Source organism: Homo sapiens, chromosome 22 (assembly GCF_000001405.40).
Source record: "Homo sapiens chromosome 22, GRCh38.p14 Primary Assembly".
Classification (NCBI taxonomy): Eukaryota; Metazoa; Chordata; class Mammalia; order Primates; family Hominidae; genus Homo; species Homo sapiens.
Window position 1 is genome coordinate 20954995 of NC_000022.11, and position 26684 is coordinate 20981678.

General features: G+C 57.6%; 1 protein-coding gene and 1 long non-coding RNA gene across 6 annotated transcripts, besides 7 other annotated features; both read left to right on the forward strand.

Moving 5' to 3' along the window:
* Positions 1669-1864: a silencer, noted in NCBI's record as "fragment chr22:21310951-21311146 (GRCh37/hg19 assembly coordinates)". NCBI's record gives its function as "represses an EF-1alpha promoter that drives an FKBP-Casp9 reporter gene in an ReSE screen in phorbol 12-myristate 13-acetate-treated (for megakaryocytic differentiation) K562 erythroleukemia cells {active_cell/tissue: K562(+PMA)}" and the evidence as "EXISTENCE:reporter gene assay evidence [ECO:0000049][PMID:32094911]".
* Positions 1835-2430: an enhancer, noted in NCBI's record as "H3K27ac-H3K4me1 hESC enhancer chr22:21311117-21311712 (GRCh37/hg19 assembly coordinates)". NCBI's record gives its function as "activates a minimal SCP1, AML or CMV promoter by ChIP-STARR-seq in naive H9 embryonic stem cells {active_cell/tissue: H9 hESC(naive)}" and the evidence as "EXISTENCE:reporter gene assay evidence [ECO:0000049][PMID:30033119]".
* On the forward strand, positions 2098-9686 carry LINC01637 (long intergenic non-protein coding RNA 1637). The gene is made up of 2 exons (NR_110537.1): positions 2098-2492; positions 9397-9686. It is a non-coding gene; the product is annotated as a long intergenic non-protein coding RNA 1637 (long non-coding RNA).
* Positions 2143-2232: a silencer, noted in NCBI's record as "silent region_13503". NCBI's record gives its function as "represses an Ori minimal core promoter by ATAC-STARR-seq in GM12878 lymphoblastoid cells {active_cell/tissue: GM12878}" and the evidence as "EXISTENCE:reporter gene assay evidence [ECO:0000049][PMID:35858748]".
* Positions 6833-6922: an enhancer, noted in NCBI's record as "active region_18690". NCBI's record gives its function as "activates an Ori minimal core promoter by ATAC-STARR-seq in GM12878 lymphoblastoid cells {active_cell/tissue: GM12878}" and the evidence as "EXISTENCE:reporter gene assay evidence [ECO:0000049][PMID:35858748]".
* Positions 6963-7022: an enhancer, noted in NCBI's record as "active region_18691". NCBI's record gives its function as "activates an Ori minimal core promoter by ATAC-STARR-seq in GM12878 lymphoblastoid cells {active_cell/tissue: GM12878}" and the evidence as "EXISTENCE:reporter gene assay evidence [ECO:0000049][PMID:35858748]".
* A 491-nt stretch (positions 9687-10177) lies between the features above and the next one.
* Positions 10178-26364, forward strand: AIFM3 (AIF family member 3). 5 transcript variants are annotated; one of them, NM_144704.3, is made up of 21 exons: positions 10178-10213; positions 12811-12981; positions 18313-18526; positions 18764-18873; positions 19069-19178; positions 19258-19302; positions 19531-19627; positions 19710-19822; positions 20698-20784; positions 21221-21312; positions 21414-21544; positions 21657-21772; positions 21873-21944; positions 22038-22101; positions 22706-22782; positions 22894-23011; positions 24277-24375; positions 24633-24708; positions 25026-25130; positions 25753-25773; positions 25998-26364. In NM_144704.3, the coding sequence occupies exons 2-21, from the start codon at positions 12951-12953 to the stop codon at positions 26035-26037; spliced, it is 1818 nt and encodes a 605-aa protein (NP_653305.1). In that variant the 5' UTR covers positions 10178-10213; positions 12811-12950; the 3' UTR covers positions 26038-26364. The 5 variants fall into 5 exon arrangements, 4 of the variants coding, with proteins under 4 accessions (NP_653305.1, NP_001018070.1, NP_001373743.1 ...); NM_001386814.1 differs by lacking the exon at positions 10178-10213 and adding an exon at positions 12261-12309; NM_001018060.3 differs by lacking the exon at positions 25753-25773.
* Positions 16914-17105: a silencer, noted in NCBI's record as "fragment chr22:21326197-21326388 (GRCh37/hg19 assembly coordinates)". NCBI's record gives its function as "represses an EF-1alpha promoter that drives an FKBP-Casp9 reporter gene in an ReSE screen in phorbol 12-myristate 13-acetate-treated (for megakaryocytic differentiation) K562 erythroleukemia cells {active_cell/tissue: K562(+PMA)}" and the evidence as "EXISTENCE:reporter gene assay evidence [ECO:0000049][PMID:32094911]".
* Positions 24406-24700: an enhancer, noted in NCBI's record as "tiled region #818; K562 Activating non-DNase unmatched - State 25:Art, and HepG2 Activating non-DNase unmatched - State 8:EnhW". NCBI's record gives its function as "activates a minimal TATA promoter and a strong SV40 promoter by Sharpr-MPRA in K562 cells, with weaker activation in HepG2 cells {active_cell/tissue: HepG2 | K562}" and the evidence as "EXISTENCE:reporter gene assay evidence [ECO:0000049][PMID:27701403]".

The following is a 26684-nucleotide window of genomic DNA, read 5'->3' on the forward strand; positions in this document are numbered from 1 at the left end:
GTTGAGATTACAGGCATGAGCCACTGCGCCCAGCTGAGACCCTGTCTTAAAAATAAATTTACCAGCACTTTGGGAGGCTGAGGCACTTTGGATCACAAGGTCAGGAGTTCAAGACCAGCCTGGCCAAGATGGTGAAACCCCGTCTCTACTAAAAATAAAAAAATTAGCTGGGCATGGTGGCGGGCGCCTGTAATCCCAGCTACTCGGGAGGCTGAGGCAGGAGAATTGCTTGAACCCGGGAGGCAGAGGTTGCAGTGAGCCAAGATCACACCACTGCACTCCAGCCCCATGGGTGACAGAGTGAGACTCCATCTCAAAAAAAAAAAAGTTAAAAATTTATTTAAGACAGTGTCTTGCTCAGGCTGGAGTGCAGTGGTAAGATGATAGCTCACTGCAGCCTCCAACTCCTGGGCCCAGGCAATCCTCCCACCTTGGCCTCCTCAGAAGCTGGGATTACAGGCATGACCCTCTGTGCCTGGCCCAGGATATATATATATATATATATATAGAACTATGAGGCTAAAATGTCCCTGGTTCCTACTTTCAGGTTTCTGCTGAATTTGAGAGAAGTCTGTCTTGAAATATCAAAACTGTCACATCATTCTGGAAGAAACAATACTCCAGAGACATCTTTGAAAACTACCTTTAGAGCCTGGTGCGGTGGTGCGTTCTTATAGTCCCAGCTACTCTGGAGGCTGAGGCTGGAGGATTGCTTGAGCCTAGGAGTTCCAGACTGCAGTGAGTTATGACTGTGCCTGCGAATAGCCACTGCACTCCAGCACGGTCGACATAGTGACACCTATTGAGACATAGTAGGATCTCAATTTTTTTTTTTTTTTTTTTTGAGACAGTGTCTTCTGCAGTGGTGTATTCTCGGCTCACTGCAACCTCCACCTCCCAGGTTTAAGCGATTCTCCTGCCTCAGCCTCCCCAGTAGCTGGGACTACAGGCTTGCGCCACCATGCCTAGCTACTTTTTGTGTTTTTAGTAGAGAGCAGGTTTCACCATGTTGACCAGGCTGCTCTTGAACTCCTGACCTCAGGGGATCCGCCCACCTTGGCCTCCCAAAGTGCTGGGATTACAGGCATGAGCCACCACCTGGCCAGCATCTCAATTTTTAATAAATAACTAAAAAATAACTTGTTTGAACAGGTATATCTTGGCCAGCAATGCTGGACTGGGTTCCTTTGAGGTGAGGGAAACTCTTGGACATGGGACCTAGTGGGGGCCTCTGCTTGCCTCCCTGCTGGGTTAACAGTACAGCTGGCCCAGCCAGTCTTGAAACCTTACCCTGCAACAAAAACTTGACACCTCCAGGCTGGTAATTCTGGAGGTGTCTTCTCTGCCAAGTCGGTGACTCCCCAACCCGCTATTATGGCTGGACTCTGCTCTTGCAGTCTTAGTGTACACCCTGGTTCTTCAAGGGCAGCAAGCAGGACTATTCCGGTAGCAACCAGAGCTGGAGCTCAGGGCCCCGCACTGGAAAGCTGGGGCAGCTTAGGTGGTAACTAGTGTGCTGAGGATGAGGGGCGCTATGGAGCCCAGGCGGGTTTAGGAAGCATTCTTGGCTTCCTGGAGGAGGGGAAATACTGGTAATTCAGGCTGAAGGAGCTGGATGGGGCCAGGGGCAGTGACTCACGCCTGTAATCCCAGAACTTTGGAAGGCCTGAGACGGGAGGGTCGCTTGAGCCCAGAAGTTCGAGACCAGCCTGGGAAACATGGCAAGACCTCGTCTCAAAAAAGCCACGCGTGGTATGCGCCTGTGCTCCCAGCTGCTTGGGAGGCTGAGGCTGGAGGATCGCTTGAGCCCTGGAGGTCGAGACTGCTGTGAGCCGTGATTGCACCACTGGACTCCAGCCTTGGTGGCAGTGAGACCCTGTCCCCAAAGAACTGGGTGATCTCGACCCTCCACATCGCTGGCTCTCCACGGGCGCTGCACAGTGGAGACCCAGGATCTGATTGCATAGGACTGGGCACTGGAGTTTAAGTTCTCCAGGGGGGTTTAATATGCAACGAAGTTGGGAACCACTACCAGTGAACCCCTTCATTCTGTGCGGCTCCAGCTCCCGGAAGCCCTCGGACAAGGAACTGTAGCCCATGTACCGCGTGACGTGAGAGCGGAGCCCGGGTCTGCCCGGGCGCGGGCCCGCGGCCACGGCGTTTGGATCCCAGATCCCAGCCCCCGCGCTCAGTCCGGGCTTCCTGACCGGCGCTCTCCGCGTCCCTTCTCGCGCGCCCTTACCTGGGGCTGGGGAGGTGGGGACAGAGCCGGGCGCAGTCGGGGGCACAGCCCTGAGGCGGGGCTGAGGGCCAGGCCGCCACGTCCCTGGACCCTGAAAACGGGCTCGGACCCCCGCTGCAGCGTGGACTCCGGTGTGGCCGCGGGGCGTGCAACCCGGACCCTGGCCAGCTCCGTGTCCTCCAGACCTTTACTCATGTCCCCGCATCGCCAGGCCGAGCTGCACCTTCGGTCCCCGCCCGCGGCAGCCGAGGTAGGGCATCTCCAGCGCCGACTCCGGGGAAGGTGGACATCGCACGGAAGGGGGTGAAGGGCAGGGAGGATCCCAGCTTGGGATGGGGGTAGAGGGTGGCGGACCTTGCGCGGGGCGGGTGTGGAGGGCGGCCCAACTCTCGTGGCCCCTGGTGCTTCCGGGAGCTCCGTCCTCGCTCTCGGATCCCAAGGAAGAACTTGACCTTTCCCTGACATCCTCCAGTGCCCATGGCTTCTGGCGTCCACGGATGGCGGGGAGGGGAGGGGGGCGCATTCAGCGACTGCAGAGACTGGGGGCTGTGGGCCGGGGCAGCTGCGGGGCGGAGGGTGGCGTGTGGTGGGGTTGGGTGGCGTGGGGTTGCAGAAGGCGGGGCATGGGGCCCAACGGCCGGCTGCGCCGCCCTTCTCCGTATGGCTCTTCGGAGCCGTTGCATTTGCCCTCTCAGGGCTTCCTGGGCTCTCGGCCCTAAGTAACCTGTGTCCCAGAGTCCCTGAGGGAGGCGCAGGATCACTGAGCTCTGCCCTCCCTAAGATGGAAGCAGGACCGTGTGGAGGAGGGACGGCCGCATGGGATGGCCAGGGTGGGGGCCCCAAGAGGACAGCCTCCGCCCGCTCGCCCGCCCGCCAAGGAAAGCCCTGGGGGAACACACTTTCAGGCTAAGGGGTCTGAGGAAGAGAAGACTAACAAGGGGGAAGCCCTCGAGATGCCCAACAGTCAAGTCCGGGAAGGACGGAGTAGATAACCAGTAACTGCCTAGAGGGTGGGAGCCAAGAAGAGGAGGGGCCTGGACAGGGCTGCAAGGAGGAAGACACAGGCCCCCATGCCAGCCTTCTGGAAACAGCGGTTTGCAGACCACCTGAGCTCACCAAGACAGCTCTGAAGAATTTAGGGAATTATGCTTTGGCTTCTGGGTTGAAGGAAAAAAATAGCTATAGGATGCAGCATTCAAAAGACCCGTAGGCAGGGCGCGGTGGCTCACACCTCTAACCCCAGCAATTTGGGAAGCTGAGGCGGAGAGGATCATGTGAGCCCCAGGGTTCAAGACCAGCCTGGGCAATATAGTGAGTCTACAAAAAAATAAAAATGAAAAAATTAGCTGGGCTTGGTGGCATACCTATAGTCCCAGCTACTCCACAGGCTGAGGTGGGAGGATGGTTTGAACCTGGGAGTTGGCCCAGGTGTGGTGGCTCATGCCTGTAACCCCATCACTTTGGGAGACTGAGGCAGGTGAATTACTTGAGGTTAGGAGTTTGAGACCAGCCTGGCTAATCATGGTGAAACCCCATCTCTACTAAAAATACAAAAATTAGCTGGGTGTGGTGGCCCACGCCTGTAATCCCAGCTACTCAGGAGGCTGAGGCCGGAGAATTGCTTTAACCTGGGAGGCGGAGGTTGCAGTGAGCTGAGATCGCACCATTGCACTCCAGCCTGGGCAACAAAGCAAGACTCAGTCTCAAAAAAGAAAGAAAGAAAGAAAGAAAGAAAGGCCAGGTGCGGTGGCTCATGCCTGTATTCCCAGCACTTTGGGAGGCCGAGGTGAGCGAATTGCTTGAGTCCAGGAGTTCAAGACCAGCCTGGGCAGCATGGCGAAAACCTGCCTCTACGAAAAAATTTTTAAAATTAGCCAGCCATGGTGGCACGCCCACTCCTGTAGTCCCAGCTACTCAGGAGAATGAGGTGGGAGGGTCACCTGAGCCCGGGAAGTGAAGGTTGCAGTGAGCCGTAATCGCACCACTGCACTCCAGCCTGGGCAACAGAGCGAGACCCTGTCTCAAAAGAAAAAAAAAAGAAAATATTTAAAATATTTAGGCCCAGCATGGTGGCTCATGCTTGTAATCCCAGCACTTTGGGAGGCCGAGGCAGGCAGATTGCTTGAGCTCAGGAGTTCGAGATCAGCCTGGGCAACATGGTGAAACCCTGTCTCTACCAAGAAAATACAAAAATTAGCTAGGCATGGTGACAAATGCCTGTAGTCCCAGCTACTCCGGAGGCTGAGGTGGGAGGATCCCCTGAGCCTGGGAGGTGGAGGCTGCAGTGAGCTGTCATCACGCCACTGCACTCCAGTCTGTGCCACAGAGCAGGACCCTGTATCAAAAAAAAAATATGTATTTTTAACACAATTACAAAACACTGTTTATAATTAAAAATAATAAAATGTTTGTAATAAAAAAACTTTTTCACGGCAGAATAATATTCCACTGTGTGGACTGAGACAGCTGGTTTTGTTTGTTTGTTTGTTTGTTTTTGTTTTTGTTTCATTTTGTTTTTTGTTTTTTTTTTAGACAGAGTCCCGCTCCTTCGCCCAGGCTGGAATGCAGTGGCGCGATCTCAGCTCACTGCAACCTCCACCTCCTGGGTTCAAGCAATTCTCCTGCCTCAGCCTCCCAAGTAGGTGGGATTACAGGTGCCCGCCACCATGCCCAGCTAATTTTTTTTTTTTTGTATTTTTAGTAGAGACGGGGTCTCGCCATGTTGGCCAACCTGGTCTCGAACTCCTAACCTCAGATGATCCACCTGCCTCGGCCTACTAAAGTGCTGGGATTACAGGCATGAGCCATCACGCCTGGCCTGAGACAGCTCATACTAGCTCATCGGTCACTGGGAGTGTGGAGCTTGTTGTCAATCGTGTGTGTGTGTGTGTGCACGCACGCGCGTGTGCGTGTGTTTAGAGAGGGGGTTTTGTCATGTTGCCCAGGCTGGTCTTGAACTCCAGGGCTCCAGCAATCCTCCTGCCTTGGCCTCCCAAAGAACTGGGATTACAGGTGTGAGCCACGCTCCTGGCCTGTTGCCAAATTGATGATAGAAATTCCTCATGGGGTCTAATTAAGTGCCACAGGGACAGGGCTACCCTGCAGCCCTGTGGGCTAGCTCTTGCCCAGCCCTCACTGTAGGAGTCCTCTGACCTCTTCCGCCTACCTCTTGCCTCCTTCCAGTCCAACACCAGTCTTAGATTTCTTTCCTGAAGACACATGCAACCGGGCACAGTGGCATATGCCTGTAGTCCCATCTACATGGGAGAATGAGGCAGGAGAATCCCTTGAGCCTAGGAGTTCAAGGCTGCAGTGAGCTATGATCGTACTCCTGAACTCCAGCCTGGGTGACAGAGAGAAACCCCATTTCAAAAACAAAACACATGTGATGAAGACTCCTTACCCAGCTCCCCCTGTTCCTCCAGACCAGCCAACCTCCATGCCAGGCCCCTGCCCAGAACTTCATGGCAAGCTGGACTGGACTGGCATATTCTGAGTTCTCCAGAATTTACCATCTTACCTCCTTGCCCACACTGTTTCTTCTGTGTGAATGCCCTTTTCCTCTCCTATGAACACCTACGGGCATCTGCCCTCAGCTCCTGCCACCTCCCTCCATGAGAACAGGGATTAAGACTGGCTATCCCTCACCAGGCGCGGTGGCTCATGCCTGTAATCCCGGCACTTTGGGAGGCCAAGGCAGGCAGATCACCTGGGGTCAGGAGTTCAAGACCAGCCTGACCAACATGGAGAAACCCTATCTCTACTAAAAATACAAAATTAGCCGGGCATGGTGGCACACGCCTGTAATCCCAGCTACTCGGGAGGCTGAGGCAGGAAAATTGCTTGAACCTGGGAGGCGGAGGTTACGGTGACCCCAAATCATGCCATTGCACTCCAGCCTGGGCAAAAAGAGTGAAACTCCATCTCAAAAAAAAAAAAAAAAAAAAAAAGTCCGGGCGCGGTGGCTCACACCTGTAATCCCAGCACTTTGGGAGGCCAAGGTGGGCGGATCACAAAGTCAGGAGATCGAGACCATCCTGACTCACACGGGGAAACCCTGTCTTTATGAAAAATACCAAAAAATCTTAGCCCGGCATGGTGGCAGGCGCCTGTAGTCCCAGCTACTGGGGAGGCTGAGGCAGGAGAATGGCGTGAACCCAGGAGGCGGAGCTTGCAGTGAGCCAAGATCGCGCCACTGCACTCCAGCCTGGGAGACAGAGCAAGAGTCCGTCTCAAAATAAATAAATAAATAAATAAATAAATAAATAAATAAATAAATAAGACTGGCTATCCCAGAGCCTGGGGACAGGAGAGTGTGCGCTGCAAAGCCAGCCATTTGAGGAGGGCCTAGTCTGAACTGAATAGGTCAATGGGCTGGAGCTGACTTTGGACAGAGTTGAACAACCCCAAAGAATCCAGTGGGTGCTGGGCATACAGTCGTCAGGCCTGTGTAGACAGACCTGGGCCGAGAAGAAGCTGGGCTGCAGTAGCCAGGGCAAGGCAGAGGGGCAGGAACAGGCATGGGCGATGGGGTTGGGCCCCAGTTCTTTGACCTGGGGAATCCCCCAACCTATGCTTCCATATGAATGAATCACTGTGCATCTGTGGGCACCACTGCATCAGCTTGCCCCTCCACACAGCTGCCCTTGGCTCATGTTGGCTGTGCTGTATCAGTCCTTCAACGTTTCCTGGGGATCAGTTAATTAAGTTGAGGTCTCTGCGTCTGGAAATCCGCCTCAGCCTGCAGGGAAAAGGCCCCTAGTCTTGTTTCTGCCTTCAGAACCCTGAGACAGAACAAGGAGAATCCTGCTGATTCTCAGATTGGGCTCCAGAGGGGCGACAGTGTCAATCACAATGTTAGATACTGAAGTTGGCTCAGTTCTTTTTTTTTTTTTCCTTCCCCTTCTCCCCTCCCGTCCCCTCCTTTCCTCTCCCTTCCCTTCCCCTCCCCTCCCCTTCCTCCCTTTTCTTTCTCTTTCTCTTTTTTTTTTGGCGGAGTCTCACTCTGCCATCTCACTCTGCAGTGGCGCAACCTCGGCTCACTGCAACCTCTGCCTCCTGGGTTCAAGCGATTCTCCTGCGTCAGCCTCCTGAGTAGCTGGGATTACAGGTGTGTGCCACCACACCCAGCTAATTTTTGTATTTTTAGTAGAGATGGGGTTTCATCTTGTTGGCCAGGCTGGTCTTGAACCCCTGACCTCAAGTAATCCTCCTACCTTGGTCTCCCAAAATACTGGGATTACAGGTGTGAGCCACTGCACCCGGCCTTTTTTTTTTTTTTCTTCTTTTGAGACAGGGTCTCACTTTGTCGCCCAGGCTGGATGTAGTGGCAGAATCATGGCTCACTGCAGCCTTGACTGCCCAGGCCCAAGCCATCCTCCCACCTCAGCCTCCCAAGTGGCTGGGACTACAGGCTTGCACCACCACACCAAGGTGAAGTGTTGTTTTGTTTGTTTTTTGTAGAGACAGTTTTGCCATGTTGCCCAGGCAGTGATCCTCCTGCTTCAGCCCCCACAAAGTGTTGGGATCACAGGCGTGAGCCGCTACGCCCGGCCACTTTCTTACCTAAAATACCTGCACACCCTACTTGGAGACCCTAGGGTGAGGGGAGTGGGGAACAGGAGAACCTGACAGTAGAGGGTACATGTAAGGAGGAGAGGGACAAGCTTGCTGTGTGGTGGGGTGCTCCAGGGCTGGGGGTGCCTAGGGATCCACCTCTCTCCCAGGCTGTGGAATTATCCTCCCCGCACTCACTGCTTCTCTAACCTTGGCTATCTCCTGCTGCCTTTGGGGTGTCTGATGGGCTTGAGGGACCTCCCAGCTGCTCTAGGTCATCTCACCGCAGCCATGTGCCCCATTTGGTACTGTCAAAGCTGCTGGAATATTATCGTCTTTCCAGAACTATCCCTGGGGCAATATCAGGACCTCAGGCTGCCCGGGGCTCAGAGCCCTCCTGGGTCTTCCTGGGGCCCCTGGTCCACATGCATCTCCACTAAGCCTGAGGGCCCTTCGGGAGAGGCAGCACTTTTAGCCTGCCCTTGGTTTTAGCTTTTGCTCTACGAAGATCTTGTGATTTCTGCCCCACCATGGGGCAGCAGGAACCTCAAGCACAGTGCCTGCGGCAAAGGGAGCCACAATGGACTTGCCCCAGGTCAGGCCTGCACTTGCCTTGTGTCAGGGTATCTCCCCAAGTTGCTGGCCTCAGTCCCTACACTGACCTGTTTCCCCAGCTTTATCTCTGGCACCCCAAACTCAGCAGCCCCGACCCCACTTCCCAAGCACCCCCTGTGCCTGGCTCTGTGCCTGTCATGGTGTCCTGGCAGCAGTCTGGGAGAGTATTTCAGTTACCTGCGGTGTCCTGGGAAGGCTGGAGCAGAGGGGTCCACTCACTGATTGCCAAGGTCACAGAACAGGACTTGCATTGTGCACTGGAGGCCCTGTGGTCTTGCATGAGCCTGGTAGGCCTCTCCCCTCCTGCTTCCAGCCCTCCATCTGGGAGGCCAGCCTGCCCAGGGCTGCTCTGCCACTTAGCAGCTGTGTGGCCCTGGAGAGTCCCTAACCTCACTGAACCTCAGTTTCTCCGTTTGTGAAATGGAGATAATACAAAGAGAACTTTCCTTCTCAGGCTGTTGTGATGGGTAAGGAAATAAATGCATGCAAAATCACAGCTGTAGTTACTATGAGGCACACTGTCTTCCTGGCTAGAGGAGATTCTGAAGGTGGGTGGGGCAGCAAGATCACCACGTGTATGAAATGGGGGCAGGCTGGTTGGAGACTGAGGGCACCAGCCCCAAGCACTGCCATCTGCCCTGTGATGGGACTCTCCTGTGGCAGTGGCAACGGTCCCACTGTGGAAGCAACACATGAGCTGAGAGGACTTGCCTGAACTGAGCCACATGTGCCCTCTGGGCCTGGTCACCCCACCACCTGCCCCCAGTGTGACCCATGCAGGGCCTGTTCCTGACCCTGAACGAGACCAGGACTCCCTGGGCTGCATTTCCTATCTGTAAAATTGTAGGAGGGTGGTGGTGGTGGGGGCTCGAACTTGCCCCCTGGGTGGGGTGGGGCATAAATAGTCCCAGAGGATGGCCTGGGAAGGCTGGCTGGGCCTGGCACAGGGGACTTTACTGCTGTCATTATTGTCCTCCTTACAGGAGAGGAGAGCAAGGCCCAGACCGGGGAGGAACCCACACAGCCTCTGTGCTCCAGCCTGCTTGAAAGACAAGGTCTACCTACAACGCAGAGATGCACACATTAAGGACAATGAAACACCCAAGTGTTAGGAACCAGAATAATCAGCCCTAATAGAGGGGAGGCTGATCAGGGAGGGCCTCCTGGAGGAGGAGGCACAACATCAGGGTGCACTGTGATTTCTGGAGACCCAAGGAGTTCTGGTAAATGACAGGTGAGAAAAAGAAAATGTAATAAAATATAATTGAAAACAGACCCTGGTATGTGTGGAGAGAGGGCCGGGAGGAACCTAGGACACCGGGGAACCTGAACTCCCCCAACCAGTGAAGGGAGCTGTGGGCAGCAAGGTTTGATTGGGGTTTTCTTTCTTGTGGAGGTTTCTCAGAGTGATTCAAGTTCCCCCACCCCGCCCACAGATGGTTCTGAGACTTTGGAAAGAAAGAAAAGGAAAAAAGACCCTGCCCGCGCCCCAGCTGGGCATCCCTGGGAGGTCGCGAGGATCCCCGGAGACCCAGACTCGGGCCCGGGGCGCCCCCGGCCAGAGCGGCCCCTGGCTGCCTCCCTACGCCCCGCGACTCCGGTCCGGACGCCGAGGGCCTCGGCCTGCCCCTGTCCCCCGGCCGCCCCCCACCTGCTCCGGCCCGGCGGGGCGGTGCTGGGCCCGCGGGCTCCCCGGCCGCAGTGCAAACGCAGCGCCAGACACGCCCCGCCCGCGCCTCCCCGCCCCCCCGCGCCCGCGGCCCCAAGCGGTTCCCGAGCCCAGGCCCGCGCCGAGCCCAGGTGAGCGCCCGCCCCGGGGACCCTGGTCCCCGGAACCCCGGTCCCCGCCCGCCGCCCCGCCTCTTCGCCCCGGCGCCGGGGGCCAGCGCTTGCGCTCCCAAGTCTCGGACCCCGGCCCGGCACGTTAGGGGCTGGGGGTTGGCAAGCGGGGCCAGAGGCACTGGCCGGGGTCCGAAGCTCACCTCGTCCTTCTCTCGTCCCACAACGGCCCCTTCCCGGCTCGCCGCGGGGCCCCACTGTGTGCCAGTCCCCCTTCTCGGGCTGCAAGGTCTGGCGGGGGCAACGGGACGGAGCCGGCGAGGCTGCTGGCATCGGCTTCCCAGAGAGAGGGAACTGCACGTGCAGAGGCGGGGAGAGTGGACAGAGGCTTGCCCTGAGCTCCGTGGGGGAGGGGAGAGCGCGGAGCCCCCACACTCGAAGGCAGGACTGGGATCAGATGCCACCCCTAGGACGCCTGGAAGCCACTGGGAGTCCGATCTGGGCAGGAGCCCTTGGGATGAGGCAGTGGGGGCAGGTGGCGAGAGGTGGAGGAGTGGGGAGAGGACCCTGCCCAGCCTGCACCCTGGGGGCGCCAGGAGCCCTGGGAGGGTCAGGTGGAGCAGGGGCCGCTCTGTGAGATGGGAGTAATCCAGTCCCGCCTCACAGGTCCTGGGGTCCCTGGGACAGACACAGACTCCTGCTGGGTGGTTAGCACTGGGCTCTGCTAGAACTTTTCTGCAGTGGGCAGCTCATGGGCAAGGAATAGCACTCGGGCGCTCTGCACTCTGGGGGTCCCTCCTGCCCTGCCCCTGGCAAGGACCTTTGCCTTTGAGTGGGGTGACTGGGCTCCAAGCCGATCTAGCACACAGTAGGCCGAAGGCACAGGGGCCCCACCCAGTCTCCTTCCTGGCCCAGGCCCTGGGGGATTCAGGTCCCTGGGTACTCGGGAAGGGACAGCACAGCCTGGGCAGGTCCCCAGTGGCAAGACCAGGTCTGACCTTTTCTGGGATCTGTGGCCCATCAGGTGAGGCCTGAGGTCAGCCAGGAAGGAAGCGGGCAGGGCTGAACCAGGGCTGAAACCAGGACCCAGGAAGGGACAGCCTAGTGCCCAGGGAAGGGGCAGGTGGGGCAGGTGGCAGTTGAGTTTTACAGACCTTCTTTGATGACAAGTGGGGGAAAGAGCCAAGGCACGCCCCAGTGGCTGTGGGAGCCACCGCCTCCTCCCCTGTAATGGGCACCTCGAGGACCGACAGGCGCAGGGGCCAGGCACCAAGGGTCCCTCTCCAACCTGGCCTTTTGTTTCCACCCCTTGCTCTCAGGCACCCACCCACGGCCCTTCCTGGTATCTGGACCAGACCAGGTGGGTCTCAGCCCCACCTCAAGTGAGACTTCAGGAAGAACTTCCAGAGGAAACTGGAGGATGGCAGTGGGATGGACTGTGGGGAGGTCATTTGCAAACAAGGCAGCTTATGCCTGTGCCCTGGGCCTTCCAAAGTCCACCTGTAGGCTGCATCTTCCGGAAGGCCCACCCTGTAGCCTGGAAGGCACCTGGCTACAGTGATCTCTCTGCTGTGCAGGTGTCCCCTCCCCCAGGGCACCTTGCAGGGCCTTAGGGTGATATGGGGGCTTTCTGGGCCCCTGCCCACCTTAAAACTGATCAAGGTGGGAGGGTGGGGTGGGAGGCCACAGGGATGCCCCTGCTGCTTGACCTTGATGGGACCTTGACCCCTTGCTTTCCCCATATGCTGTTGGGCATGACTGCCCACAGGCCTGGTGGGCGTTTGTGAAGGGCTGGAGTCGGGGGTAGGGGGAGCTTATGGCTGCTGGGCACAGGCGTGGCAGGGCTGTGTGCCTGGCTTCCCTTTCCCCTAACCCCATCAGGCCCGGGCTGGCCGCCCACTTCTGTTCACCACAGAGCAGGGTTTCCCTGGGGACCAGTGGACTGGCCCAGCCCCACACCGCCCCCCAGCCCCTCCTGGCCACAGCTTGAGCTGGGAGGAGGGTGGAGGCTGGGCCGCCTCCTGGACCCCTGCCCTCCCTGCCCGGCCTTCCAAGGCCCGGCAGCCTCAGTCCACTGCTGGGCCTGGAACACGGAGCAGTGGCTGCCCTGCGAGGAGGTGGGTGTCCGGAGTGCTAGCCAGGGTGGGGCTGGGCTAGGGGGAGCCTGATGTCACCCCCATTGTAGGAGGGAGAAGACCAAGGATGAGAAGGGCTTTGGCTTCCCCAAGGTGACCCCCTCTTTGAGCCTAGGCATAGTGGTCTCCCGGGAGAATGGAGGGTCCCAGAGCTCTCAGGCTGTGGGATTTGGAGAGGGGAAGGGGGGCACGAGGAGGCAGTAGAAATCAGGGAGGATTTCCTGGGCAAGGCAGCCGCGGGGCTGGACGATGGGCGGCCGAGGTTCGGGCAGAGGAACTCCACTGGAGGAGTGAGGGAGCTGAGCTTGGAGGGCTTCAAAGGGGAGGTGACCTCCAGGGCCCCACGCTCTGGGATCAGGCTCACGCCATGGTTCCCAGCTCAAATGTAAGACTCTTTCCGAAGCTCCCACTGTCTCTCTCCGTCCCTCTGTGTCTCTACCTGCCCACACGCCCCGGTCCTGATGGCTCCAGTCTCCCCTGCAGGTCCTAGAGCAGCTCCAGCAGGATGGCGGCTCCAGCGTCTCTAAGGCCTGCAGGGGGTCCAGCCCCATGGGGGGCGCCCTAGGCCTCCGACAGCTCCCCATCTGTGCTCCTGCCTGCCGGCCATCCTCAGGCCACTCGCCATGGGCGGCTGCTTCTCCAAACCCAAACCAGGTACCTCCTGTCTTCTTGTCTCCATCCTTTCTCCTCCCTCCCCGCCTCCTCCTCCCCCGTCTCCCCCCCCTCCCCCTCTGCACTCGGTAGGCCTCCGAAGTAGGTCAGGCTATCCAAGAACCCGCTCGGAATGTTAATACGCTGCCGCCAGGAGGGGGTAGGGGGCCTGGAGCAGTTCCCCCAGCTGGCCCCTGCTCCAGTGGGTGCCCCTTTTTCTTTGGGGCTTTGAGTGTTGGTGGTGGGAATAACAGCAGGACCCTTCTTGGAAAAGGAAAGTCAGGGTTCCTCCTGTTGCAGGGTTGGGGAAGGGGCTATGCCCCCAGGGCCAGGGAAGGGGGGAGCTGGGGACACGCTCAGCCACTCTGTGACCTAGGGCATGCAAGTTACCCCTCTGAGCCTCTGTTTTTCTCTCTGCAAAAGAGAGGGCCTGGCCACCCTGACCTCTTAGAGTTGCTGTGAGGGTGTAGTGGGCAGATCCTGGCTCTCTTTGCCTCCTCTGATCCCCTGTGTGGTCTCGGGCTGCCTTCTTGGCCTTTCTGGGCACACTTCCCCATTTATACAGGAAATCACCATCCAACCTAGCCTGAGCTACTCCAGCCAGAAGTGGGAGTGTCCTGGGGTGCTAGGGGAGGCCTGGGTCTTTTCTCCACTAAAGACTCATGTCTGCGGAGCTCTCCCTCTGGCCCCCCACTTTCCCTCTTCTCTCCTCACAACACCTGGGGAGGCAGGAGTGTGCAGCTTTGTCACAGGTGGAGAAACTGAGGCTTAGAGAGACCTCAAGAGCGCAGCCAGTGCTCCACTCAACCTGCCAGGCCACGCTGCCCCAGCCAGCTCACCCCAGCCAGCTCACCCCAGCCAGCTCACCCCAGCTCCCCTTACCTGATACCCATCAGCTCCGTTACCTTGGAACTTGTGAGGCTTTTCTCCCTTTCCTGGGTCTAAGGGAGAACTTGGGCGAGGGAGGAGGGCTGTGATGACCCACCAGGCAGAGGGACCCACTTGCCTCTGCTCCAAGAAGCCACTCTTCCTCCCCCGCTCCTGTGCTGTGGACACCTAGGCCTGGGCTGGATCCCTCTCTGCCTCAAAATGTGCCTTGGGCAGATGACGTCCATTGTCTCCCCCTAGCAGTGGGTGGGATGATGCCAGCTGGCCTCATACCAGGCGTCTGTGGCACCGCTGGGCTGGCAGGAGGCCCTGGCAGAAGATGCCACCTGCAGGTTCTTTTAAAGGACCCCAAATGGCTGGCCTGCCTGGGACCCGTGGCCCCAGGACTTCCAGTGTCGGGGGTGGCCACCCTCACCAAAGGCAGTCCTAAGAACTTAGGCAAATCCAGCCCTGCCCCTTTCTGGCTGTGTGGCCTTGGGCAGGTGATTTCCCCTCTCTGAGCCTCTGCATCCTCATTGTAAAGTGGGGCTGTTGTGCCTAGCATGAGGGCCTGGCACACCAGAAGCACTTGCGGAATTTTTTTTTTTTGAGACAGAGTTCACTCCTTCTCCCATGCTGGAGTGCAGTGGCGTGATCTCGGCTCACTGCAAGCTCCGCCTCCCAGGTTCATGCCATTCTCCTGCCTCAGCCTCCCAAGTAGCTGGAACTACAGGCGCCCGCCACCACGCCCAGCTATTTTTTTGTATTTTTAGTAGAGACGGGGTTTCACCGTGTTAGCCAGGATGGTCTCTATCTCCTGACCTTGTGATCCGCCCATCTCGGCCTCCCAAGGAATATTATTTGTTATCCCTTTTCTGAGCTGGGCTCTGTGCTGCCAGGCCTCCCCTGTGGGGCTGTAGCCAGAGGCTCAGGCCCCAGGTGCCCATGCTGGGCAGGTCAGGCATGAGGCTCAGGGAATTTCCAGATATGGGAGTGACAGCATTTGGGGCCTGAGGGTTCAGCTGGGGTCTTAAGGGGCCACAAAGAGACTAGATCAAGCAGAAGACCTCTGTGCAAATCCTTCACTTTCTATCTTGCTCCACTCGATTCTGTGGCTCCGTGTGCATCAGCACCTGCTTCCTGGGTTCCCTCTGTGCTCCTGTGTGTCCTGTCTGAGTAGTTGATAAGAAGGTATCAGACCAGTCCCTCACCTAGCTCAGAGCTAGGAGGAAGTGCAGCTCTCTTAGCATCTGTTCACCTGCCTTTTATTAGGCCATAACTGATACCTAAAGGCTTTCCATCCTCACCATGGCTGCTAGGAGGCTCAGAGCTAACTGGTAAAACACTGCTGCCCAACTCCATCTATTGAGCTTCTACTCTGGGTTACATACAGTATTTCCTTCAGCATTCACTGTCACCAACGAGGTAGGCATTTGCTGTTCTCTCTGTTTTATTTTCATTTTTTGAGATGGGGTCTCATTCTGTTGCCCAGGTTGGAGTAAAGTCGCATAATCATAGCTCGCAGCAACCTAGAACTCCTGGGCTCAAGTGATCCTCCCACCTCCTGAGTAGCAGGGACTACAGGCCTGCACCACCACGACTGGCAATTTTATTTATTTTTTTAACTTTTTTATTTTTTGAGAGACAATCTCACTCCCTCACCCAGGCTGGAGTGCAATGGCTTGATCTTGGCTCACTGCAACCTCCGCCTCCCAGGTTCAAGCGATTCTCCTGCCTCAGGCTCCCAAGTAGCTGGGATTATAAGCGCATGCCATCATGCCTGGCTAATTTTTATATTTTTAGTAGAGACTGGGTTTTGCCATGTTGGCCAGGCTGGTCTCGAACTCCTGACCTCAAGTGATCTGCCTGCCTCGGCCTCTCAAAGTGCTGGGATTACAGGCATGAGCCATCATTCCCGGCCAACTGGCAATTTTTAAATTTTTTGTAGAGACTGCATCTCACCCTGTTGCCCAGGCTGGTCTTGAACTCCTGGACTCAAGCGATCCTCCTGCCTTGGCCTCCCAAAGTGTTGGGATTACAGGCATGAGCCACCACACCTGGCCTTCTCTCCATTTTATAATAAAGGCATCTTAAGGCCCAAAGGGGCTAAGGCAGGTCTTATGGGCAGCCAGAAGTCATGGAGCTGGGGCTGATCCAGTTTTGTGGGTGAGCAGAGACGCCTCTCCCCTCTACCTTTCCAAAGGGCCCCTGACTTAATGGCTTCCATTAGACTGCATCAGTGAGTGGGCTTGGAGCCTTCTGGGAGGAGGTGGAGGATGAGAGCAGCCTGGCTTGGCATTATCTGGCCCCCCTGCCAGGCTATTTGTGAGCTCCCACAGCTTCCACAGCTGGTGTCAGCTAAGTCCAAAGTATTTCTCTTTTTAATTCTTCCAAAAACATTCTAACACCATTACATAAGGTATAGAAAATGGAATGAAAGCCCCACCCATAACCCCCCACCTGATACGATGGCCTCAGTGTGGCTCTGTGCTCTGCATCCTCCCTGCTGGGCTGGGGTCAAGGAACTGACCTTTTCTTTGCCCCTGTGCCCTGCTATGCCTGGGCCTGAGCTGAGGGCTGGGACTTGGGGCTGGGGAGGGGACCTGGCCAGCGTGGAGGATTTAGCAGAGCATGAGATGATGGATGGGCTGGGCAGCCAGGAGAGGCAACTCCTGAGCCTTGTCTGGGTAGATAGGAAGGATGGCAGCCCCAGCCCAGGGGACAGCTCAGGCAAAGGCCTGGAGGTGCATCTCGGCAGCCTCTCTGGGTTCTTGGTTTCTGGAGTGTCAGTTCTGAGGTGGAAGGGATGAGAGGTAAAACCCAGAGGTGCTGGTGCCTTGGGAAGTGAGAGAGGTACCTCCTGCTCCAGCATCGGGCCCATGCTGTGCCAGGGGCTTAGTGTCCATCACTCAGCTTCCTCCCTGCAGCAGCAGCCTGGGAGGCCAGATTATTGCTGCTAAAAATTCTGTTTATTGTTCCCTTCTAATTAGAAAAATATCCCAGGCACATCACAGGGAATTTGGAAAATGTGCAAAAGTATAAAGAAGAAAATGGCAATCTCTGGCTCACTCCCCGCTAGAGCTGGCCCCGTGGGCACGCTGGGGAAGTGGCTCTGTATGGAGGCTGTGGGGGGGGGGGGCTGTGCCCCCTCTGTGCCATCCACATGCATTCCCATGCTCAGGTTCACCCCCAGGGCACACGAGGACACTGAAAACCCAGCACCTGGTTAGTGATGAAGGATTCTCAAATTGGTGAGAAGAGCTATTTTGAGAAGTTGAAATCGGGCCGGGAGTGGTGGCCCACGCCTGTAATCCCAGCATTTTGGGAGGCCGAAGCGGGTGGATCACCTGAGGTCAGGAGTTCGAGACCAGCCTGACCAACATGGAGCCCTGTCTCTACTAAAAATACAAAAATTAGTCAGGTGTGGTGGCACACGCCTGTAATCCCAGCTGCTCAAGAGGTTGAGGCAGGAGAATCGCTTGAACCTGGGAGGGGGAAGTTGCAGTGAGCCAAGATCGCACCATTGCACTCCAGCCTGGGCAACAACAGCGAAACTCCATCTCAAAAAAAAAAAAAAAAGAAGAAGTTGAAATTATGCTGTGAATTATGCTGTGTACATTTTTTTTAATTTTTGAAAAAAATTCAAATATATGGGAAAGTTGTAAGACTAGAACAATGAACCCTTGACTTCCTGTCACCCAGATTCACTGGCTGGGAACTGAGCTGCTGCCACTTTTGAATTCCTGTATGTACATGAGTCATACCCTGAGATGTCAGGGACATTGTCATTGTCCATCAGAAGATGCAGGACTGTAGGGCCTCAGGGTTCTTTCTGCCACAGAGGTTTCTGCAGCCAGGAGAACTGCAGGGTCGAAGGAACTCAGCTCTGTGTCCCCCTCACTAACACTGTAATTGAAAAAGGAGGCGGGGTGTGGTAGCTCAAGCCTGTAATCCCAGCACTTTGGGAGGCTGAGGCGGGCAGATCACTTGAGGTCAGGAGTTTGAGACCAGCCTGGCCAACATGGCAAAACCCTGTCTCTACCAACCCTGTCACGCCACACCTCTGGCGTGGTGGTATGCACATGAAGTCCCAGCTACTGGGGAGGCTGAGATGGGAGAATCACTTGAACCCAGGAGGCAGAGACTGCAGCGAGCCGAGATTGCATGACTGCACTACAGCTTGGGCGACAGAGTGAGACCCTGTCTCAAAAAAAAAAAGAAAAAAGAGACATGCAGAAACGAATTCAAGCAGACCCGGGAGCACCCCCACCCATCCATGCCCCTCCGCTGCTTCGTGCCAGGTTTAAGGCTCTTTGCTGGGCTGGTGGTGCAGAGGGAATTCTGGGGAGGTTGCCAGGCAGGGCTGAGCCTCCTGGCACCCCGAGGAGCTGGCCTCTGCACCCAGCTTGAGGGATGGGGGAGGAAGTTGGCTGAGGTGGGGGGCTCAAGGCGCTGCCTTGCCCACAGTGGAGCTCAAGATCGAGGTGGTGCTGCCTGAGAAGGAGCGAGGCAAGGAGGAGCTGTCGGCCAGTGGGAAGGGCAGCCCCCGGGCCTACCAGGGCAATGGCACGGCCCGCCACTTCCACACGGAGGAGCGCCTGTCCACCCCTCACCCCTACCCCAGCCCTCAGGATTGCGTGGAGGCTGCTGTCTGCCACGTCAAGGACCTCGAGAATGGCCAGTGGGTTCTGGGCTTGCCTGGGAGCGGGGATCAGGGGTCCCAAGGTGGGAGGGTGAGGGGGCCATAGCCGGGGGTCGGGGTTGGCCTGAAGGGGCTATGACCAGCTGCTGCCCTGGTCACTGCCTTTGTGGCTTCTACCGGTCTGGGCCTGCTCCCCAGAAGGCTGGACACTGGGAGGAGCTGCCAGGAGGTTGTGCCTGGTGTCTGGCCTGACCTCTGAGTGCTGCGGTTCCCCAGGATGCGGGAAGTGGAGCTGGGCTGGGGGAAGGTGTTGCTGGTGAAGGACAATGGGGAGTTCCACGCCCTGGGCCATAAGTGTCCGCACTACGGCGCACCCCTGGTGAAAGGTGAGCTGTCAGGTGGGAGGCGTGAGGGGGACCTTCCAGGCCCCATGCCAGCTTGGCTCCTCCCCAGACCCCAGGATCTTCATCTATTAGTGAAGTCTCCTGGGCTGTGGGGAGGGGCCCGCAGTTGCCGGGGCACTGAGATCCTTGGGAAGCAACCCCTGCTGGTGGGCGCAGCCTAACACCTCCCCTTCCCAGGCGTTCTGTCCCGTGGTCGGGTGCGCTGCCCCTGGCACGGCGCCTGCTTCAACATCAGCACTGGGGACCTGGAGGACTTCCCTGGCCTGGACAGTCTACACAAGTTCCAGGTGGGGCCAGGAGTGCGATGGGGTGGGAACCTGGGGGTGTGGGGTTCGGGGCTGGTCCTGAGCAATGCAGCCCTTGCAGGTGAAGATTGAGAAGGAGAAGGTGTACGTCCGGGCCAGCAAGCAGGTGAGGGGATAGCTCGGGGCTCAGGCAGAAGGGAGGAGCCGGGAGGGCATCTTGGCCCAGAGAATGCCATGTGCAAAGCCCTGTGGTGGGAGGAGCTTGGCACGTGTCACTGGAGCAGAGTGAGGGGTTGCGGTAGGGATGAGGCTGGGCTGGAGCGCCAGGACCTGCCTGCCAGGATGATGGCATGCAGAGGATGGCAGTGACCCTCCACCCTCCTGGCACCCACAGGCCCTACAGCTGCAGCGAAGGACCAAGGTGATGGCCAAGTGTATCTCTCCAAGTGCTGGGTACAGCAGTAGCACCAATGTGCTCATTGTGGGTGCAGGTTGGTAGTGGGGTCATGAGGGGCAGGGTGGGAGATGGGATTGGTGAGAAGTGGTTCCTGGCCCACGGGCCCCTCCCCTCAGGTGCAGCTGGCCTGGTGTGTGCAGAGACACTGCGGCAGGAGGGCTTCTCCGACCGGATCGTCCTGTGCACGCTAGACCGGCACCTTCCCTACGACCGTCCCAAGCTCAGCAAGGTACAGGGGGTGGGGCAAGTAGGGACCCTATCCCTCTGGGTCCCAGTTAAGCCCACTTCAAGCCTTGCTTGTCACCCCATTGGGGTCTGGCCGGCTGCCCTCCCTGCTTATGCCAGGCCTGTCCGTGGTACCCCCAAAAGATCTAGATTTGTTGTTGTTGTTTTGAGACAGGGTCTCACTCTGTCGCCCAGGCTGGGATGCAGTGGCGCCTTCTCGGCTCACTGCAACTTCCACCTCCTGGGTTCAAGCGATTCTCATGCTTCAGCCTTCCGAGTAGCTGGGATTACAGGTGTGCACCACCACCATGCCTGGCTAATTTTTTGTATTTTTAGTAGAGATGGGGTTTCACCATGTTGCCCAGACCAGTCTTGAACTCCTGAGCTCAGCCCATCCGCCCACCTCAGCCTCCCAAGGTGCTAGGATTACAGGTGTGAGCCACTGCACCTGGCTTTTCTTTTTTTGAGACAGAGTCTTGCTCTGTCACTCAGGCTGGAGAGCAGTGCCTGTCTCACGGCTCACTGCAGCGTCGACCTCCACCTCCCGGGCTCAAACGATCCTCCCACCTCTGCCTCCCGGGTAGCTAGGACTACAGGCGCGCACCACCATGCCTGGCTAATATTTTGTATTTTTTGTAGAAATGAGGTCATTTTTGTCATGCTGCCCAGGCTGGTCTTGAACTCCTGGTTCAAGCGATCCTCCTGTCTCAGCCTCCCAAAGTGTTGGGATCACAGGCATGAGTCACTGCGCCTGGCCAGATCTGGGTTTGCTGAGTTCTGTCCTGCAGCCCCTATGTGACTGGGGCTGGCCCCACCTTCCCTGGGCCCCAGTGTCTTCTGCTGTAAACTGGCTCCTCTCAAGCTGGCTCTCCCCTGCAGTCCCTGGACACACAGCCTGAGCAGCTGGCCCTGAGGCCCAAGGAGTTTTTCCGAGCCTATGGCATCGAGGTGCTCACCGAGGCTCAGGTACAGGGTCAAGGGTGGGAAACAGGCCCGAGGAGGGAAGGTGGGAACCGTGAGGTTGTGTGGGCCCCTGGGGTGGGGTCTTGGTGCTCTACCTTCCTGGCCCCACAGCCCAGGCACCTGGGAGGTGCTCCAGGCTTGGGAGACAGCAAGGAGCTTTTTCCTGATGGGTCATAGGCACACACAGAGCCCCACGGTGTGTGGAGATGAACGATCAGGGCTGGATAGGAGATACTGGTGGGACTTGGGAGGGTAAGGAGAGGTTTGAGGGGAAGGTGATGTCTGAAGCGTAAAGAATGAAGCCCAGGTGGCAGGATCTGTTTTAATGGGAGCTTCTCAGAGGCTGTGGCTGGGCTGTGGGTGTACTGCAGGACCGGGGAGTGGGCGGCGAGGCCCAGCCCCATGCCCAAGCTCATGCTCTGCCTGGTGGGGATTGCAGGTGGTCACAGTGGACGTGAGAACTAAGAAGGTCGTGTTCAAGGATGGCTTCAAGCTGGAGTACAGCAAGCTGCTGCTGGCACCAGGGAGCAGGTGGGAGGGTCTCCTTTTTACCCATCGGACACTAGGCAGGGCACTGGCCTGGACGGGGCTGGGGCTGCCAGGAGGCCCTCACTGACACGGCCATGTCTCAGCCCCAAGACTCTGAGCTGCAAAGGCAAAGAAGTGGAGAACGTGTTCACTATCCGGACGCCAGAGGATGCCAATCGCGTGGTGAGGCTGGCCCGAGGCCGCAACGTGGTCGTCGTGGGAGCCGGCTTCCTGGGTGAGAGGTAGTGGGCAGTGGAGATGGTGGTCAGGTCGTCATGGCCAGTCCCAGGGAAGTTCTGGTCGAGGAAGGTGCAGGTGCCAGCCTGCCACCCCCTGCCCATCACCAGGGATGGAGGTGGCCGCTTACCTGACGGAGAAGGCCCACTCTGTGTCTGTGGTGGAGCTGGAGGAGACGCCCTTCAGGAGGTTCCTGGGGGAGCGCGTGGGTCGTGCCCTCATGAAGGTGAGCCCACCCCAGCACCCAGTGCCTTGGAGCCCTGGGGCCCAGCCCGGCCCCTGGCTGGGCTCTCATCCACCGCCCACCTGCCCACTTGCCCTGACAGATGTTTGAGAACAACCGGGTGAAGTTCTACATGCAGACGGAGGTGTCTGAGCTGCGGGGCCAGGAGGGAAAGGTGGGCCCTTCTCCCTTCTCCCTGCTGCTTTCTGTCCTCTGTCCCCTGAGCCTGGGAGCTGGGTCCACCTGTTTATCCACCCACTCCCCACAGCTGAAGGAGGTTGTGCTGAAGAGCAGCAAGGTCGTGCGGGCTGACGTCTGCGTGGTGGGCATTGGTGAGTTGGTGTGTGGGCAGGCAGGCACAAAGCAGCCCAGCCGTCTGCACATGCTCACATGTGACCTTGGGCTAGTCCCTTCCCCTCCCAGAGCCTCAGTTTCCACCACATCTGTCAAATGGGAACCCCCAACCGCCCCCACTTTACGGAGCTGTTGGGGAAGGTATGTACTGGGCTCAGCCCAGGCCTGGCACAGTGGATGCTCCCAGTGCCCGCTGCCCAGTAACACTCATCTCCATGCCCTGCGAGAGTTGACATAGACGAGACTCGAACTGGCTTCTGCTCCAGCTGAAGTGCCAATTTGGGTAGGGGCCAAGATGGGAGGTGGTAGCACCTGCAGGGGCTGAGGAGGTATGGCATGCTGTCCCTCCACTTAAGGGCCTCATGGAGCACTTCTTGGAGAAGGTGATATCTGAGGTCTTGCGGGAGGCACCGGGTCTGTGGGAGACCGGGTAGTGGGGACCAGGGTGCATGAAGGCCTCAGGTAGACAGCCCCTGGAGGATCAGTCTGGGGCTGGCACATCAAGCGCATGCTGTAGGGTGTGGAGAGTGACTACGCAGAAGGCAGGGACAGGGGAGTGGACACAGGCTTCCGTCCTGTCAGGTGCAGTGCCCGCCACAGGCTTCCTGAGGCAAAGCGGCATCGGTTTGGATTCCCGAGGCTTCATCCCTGTCAACAAGGTGGGGTGGATGGCACTGGGTGGGGAGGACCCGGTGCTGGGCTGGGAGTGGCAGGAGGTTCAGGTCAGGGCCCCTGTCACACCCATGGAGCTCTGGGCCCTCTCTCTACAGATGATGCAGACCAATGTCCCAGGCGTGTTTGCAGCTGGCGATGCTGTCACCTTCCCCCTTGCCTGGAGGAACAACCGCAAAGTGAACATTCCACATTGGCAGATGGCTCATGCTCAGGGTATGGCCAGTCCCGAGGCACATGGAGGGGTGGGAGGGAGTCTCAGGGTCTCAGTGTCCCCATGCCCATGCCTCAGTTGCTGACCTTGGGTCCTGGACACTGTTAGGCATCAAAGCTCTGATGTGGATTCTCTGGCCAGCCTCATCTCGGCGATCCAGCCAACACAGAGAGCGACACCCCACTGAGCCAGCCATAGCTCCTCAATCTCAGTTTTCCTTCTGGTAGTCTCTCCCTTTTTTGTCTTCAAGGACATATATTCTGCAGAATTCCTGATCAACCTGTGCATTACCCTGGGGAGGGAGGGAGGGATTTAGTGGATCACCTTCCCATTTATGCCTCTGTTTCCCTTGGGCCACTCAAGTATCTCTGTGAACTCAGTTCAGCCTCATGCAGGTCCCCGAGGTGCCATCTGAGCCCAGAGACGTGGGCTCAGTGGAGGCACTGTGCTTTCTGAGGAATAGCTTTCCCCTCCTGATGTTTGCTGGCCACCAAGTCCCCCAAGCCTCATCCACTGTGCACATCTGGTCTGGGCCCCTAAGCTGCAGGTGCCATCACATTAGTTGCCTCACTGCCTCAGAGAGAGGACTGCCAGACTCCCAGCCTGGGACAAAGGACTTCTCTGCACCCATCTCCCCTTTCCTCTGCCTTTACACCTGAGGGTCTGCTGCTTGAAACCCCACTTCTGGTACCAATTTCTATTCAAGTCCAAAGTCGAAAGTTGTTGCTAGGTTGTAAGTAACCAAGGCAACTTATCAGCCAAGTATAATTAGGATTTAACTGAGAGAGTTTAGGGGACTTTGAAGTACATCCAACTACAGGGGTCTACTGGGGCCTCATAGGAACTGGGGAGCCATCCACACTGGTCTCTTTGGGGCCTTGTGTGTGGCTGTCATCTGTGCTTCCCTGTGTACTTGTGCCCCATTTTCCTCCCTCTTCAGACCTGATACGTCTGATTAGGTGTCTGTGTGCACAGCTGAAATGGTGGCGTACTCCCCCAACCCCAAGAAGCAGACCTTCCAGAGTCAGGGCACTTTATTCAGATTCTTTAAGGAAGCAATCAAGTGGCTAGCTTTGAGGCAGGTGTTCCCCTGCACCAGTCAGCTGCAGGTGCAAGTGAGCAGTGGGCTGAACAATGATGTCTCTTGACCTCTGGGGAGACCAGGAGGAGTAGCCACACGTGTCAGGGGTCCCCAGGGCATCAGGAGCAGGTAGTGTGGGAGTGGTAAGAGCGAGAGTTAGGGTTCTCACGGCCCTGGGTCCCGCAGGGCGCGTGGCAGCCCAGAACATGTTGGCGCAGGAGGCGGAGATGAGCACTGTGCCCTACCTCTGGACCGCCATGTTTGGCAAGAGCCTGCGCTACGCGGGTAACCCCGGGGCCTCGGATGGGGGCGGGGCCGAGGGCGTTTAGGGGCGGGGCTTGGGTGTGGGGCGGGGCTGGGAGCCTAGGGGCAGGGCTATGACCGCACTAGGAAGAGGCCGGTAAGAACTCGCTGGCGGCAAGGCTACGAACTACCTAAAAGGACGTATGGAGCAGGGCCTGGGCGGGGTTAGGAGGGGATCCTGTGACGTCTCGTTCCCTCCCCCGGCTCACGTGGGTGCCACCCACCTGCCCGGCCCACAGGCTACGGAGAAGGCTTCGACGACGTCATCATCCAGGGGGATCTGGAGGAGCTGAAGTTTGTGGCTTTTTACACTAAGTGAGAGCACCGGGGTGCAGCTTGGCGCGAAGCAGCGGGAGCTCAGTCGGGAAGGGGGATTCATCCCAGGCAAAATCCCAGAACAAGAGCCCAGCCCTGAGCCCCGCTGAGGAGTGCTGGAGCTTCCTTAGGAAAGCCCGAAGCTTGTGCACGGTCAAGCCGCGATGTGCAAAGCAGGGAGGGCTGGGTGCTCAGGCCATTCTTGTTGCCCTGGGGTAGGTCCTTCCCTGGGCCCCAGATGGACAGCAGTGCATCAGGGTTTTCAAAAAGGGGCTGCTGCCTCGCAGTCCTCAGGCTTGGCCATCCTCTCCTTGCAGAGGCGACGAGGTGATCGCCGTGGCCAGCATGAACTACGATCCCATTGTGTCCAAGGTCGCTGAGGTGCTGGCCTCAGGCCGTGCCATCCGGAAGCGGGAGGTGGAGTGAGTGTGGGTGTGGGAAGCCTGGGGGTGGGAGTAGTTCCCTGGAGTACTGGCTAAGGTGCCTATGACAGCCAGCCGCCCCCACAACCCTCCAGGGCCTTTCCCCTCTTGGTTTGCATCGCCTGAGGCTTACAGGACTACAGGGAGGTGTGGGGCAAGGATCATGGTTTGAGAGCAGGCTGGTTATGTGTTCATGGTGGATGGAAGGGATAGAGATGTGTGTCACCAGGCAGGGCCAGTGCTGTGGGAAGGGGTCAGGGCCCAATGCATGGGCAATCACCAGGCGTGGGACACCTAACTGGACATAGTTGTGCTGAGCCTGGCAGAAGCTAGGTGGGAAATGCAGCTACTGATGCCCTGGGTATGCCCTCCACATAGATGGTGGGGGTGGTTCTAGGTTTCACTCAACACCAGCCAGTTCCCTTATCCTGGTGTGGTGTCAATGAGATTCACCCTCTGGGAGAGAGCTCCCAGGGACTGGGGACAGCCTGGAGGCCACTGGGAGGCTATGAGACAGGGGCAGGCTTCAGGCTGGAAACAATGGAGGACCAGAAGGGGACATGATAAATGACATGCTCTCTCCTTGGCCTTCTCTCCGTTTCTCTCTCTTGCCTTCGTGAAGGCTGTTTGTGCTGCACAGCAAGTACGTGTGTCCTTCATGTTGACCGTTCTGAGCCTTTCCCATGTCAGCCCAGACCCTCCACCCAATGGTCTTATCTCCCTCTGTCCAAGTACACCTCCCTGCTGGGCACTAGGGTCTGGCACAGAACAGACCCCCTGCTGTCCTCAAGGGCCAGCTGTTCAGGGTGCCCAGAGTGGAGAGCCTGTTTTCTTCTGTCTTGACCCCTCCTCCCCTCACTCCTGCAGGACTGGCGACATGTCCTGGCTTACGGGGAAAGGATCCTGAGCTCACATGCAGTAGACTTGGGCAGGCAAAGGGGGCACCAAGGGCACAGGCCAAGCCTTGGGGGCAGGTGCCAATCTCCAGTCCCAGGATCCCCCAGGGCAGAACCTGAGCCCTCCCAGTGCTTGCCTTCAGCCACCTGGCTCCCCTCCTGGGAGGCCTCTGCTGGATCCAGAAGATGCTCAACCCTCAAGGCCTCTGCTGCCACTGACAGCTGGCACTGGAGGCAGGACAAGCCCTGCCTCTTCTCCCTCTATTGGGACTGGTCCCCTGAAGAACCCTGCAACACGTTAAACATTACCGTAAAATTAAAACGCACAAATTTGCAGATCTGTATGACTCCCAGTGTAATTGGGCCAATAGGCACAGGACCAGACCACAGGGAAACAGGCACAATCACAGAATGCCAGGTGCCACACCAAGGAAATTTGGCCTGTGAACGCCCAGAGGAGGTAGCAACTAATTCTGCGCCCCAAGCCCTCCCACATCCCTCTCCCCCTCTGCGATCAGCGAACGCTTTTTGCTTTTGGCTCTGAGTTTTGAAGGAAGGGTATTCCAGGTAGAAGGGACAACATGCCCAAAGGTCTTGAGATAGTAAATGCTCCTTCAGAGGTGGCTCATGCTTGACACTTTGGGGCATTTGCCCACTT

Bases quoted from the DNA above. Each gene is read 5' to 3' on its own strand.
- AIFM3 (NM_144704.3), top strand. From the start codon at position 12,951: ATGGGCGGCTGCTTCTCCAAACCCAAACCAG. The intron at 18,874-19,068 runs GTGAGCTGTCAG...TCCCCTTCCCAG, and splicing joins CGGCGCACCCCTGGTGAAAG to GCGTTCTGTCCCGTGGTCGG. The intron at 24,376-24,632 runs GTAACCCCGGGG...CCCGGCCCACAG, and splicing joins CAAGAGCCTGCGCTACGCGG to GCTACGGAGAAGGCTTCGAC.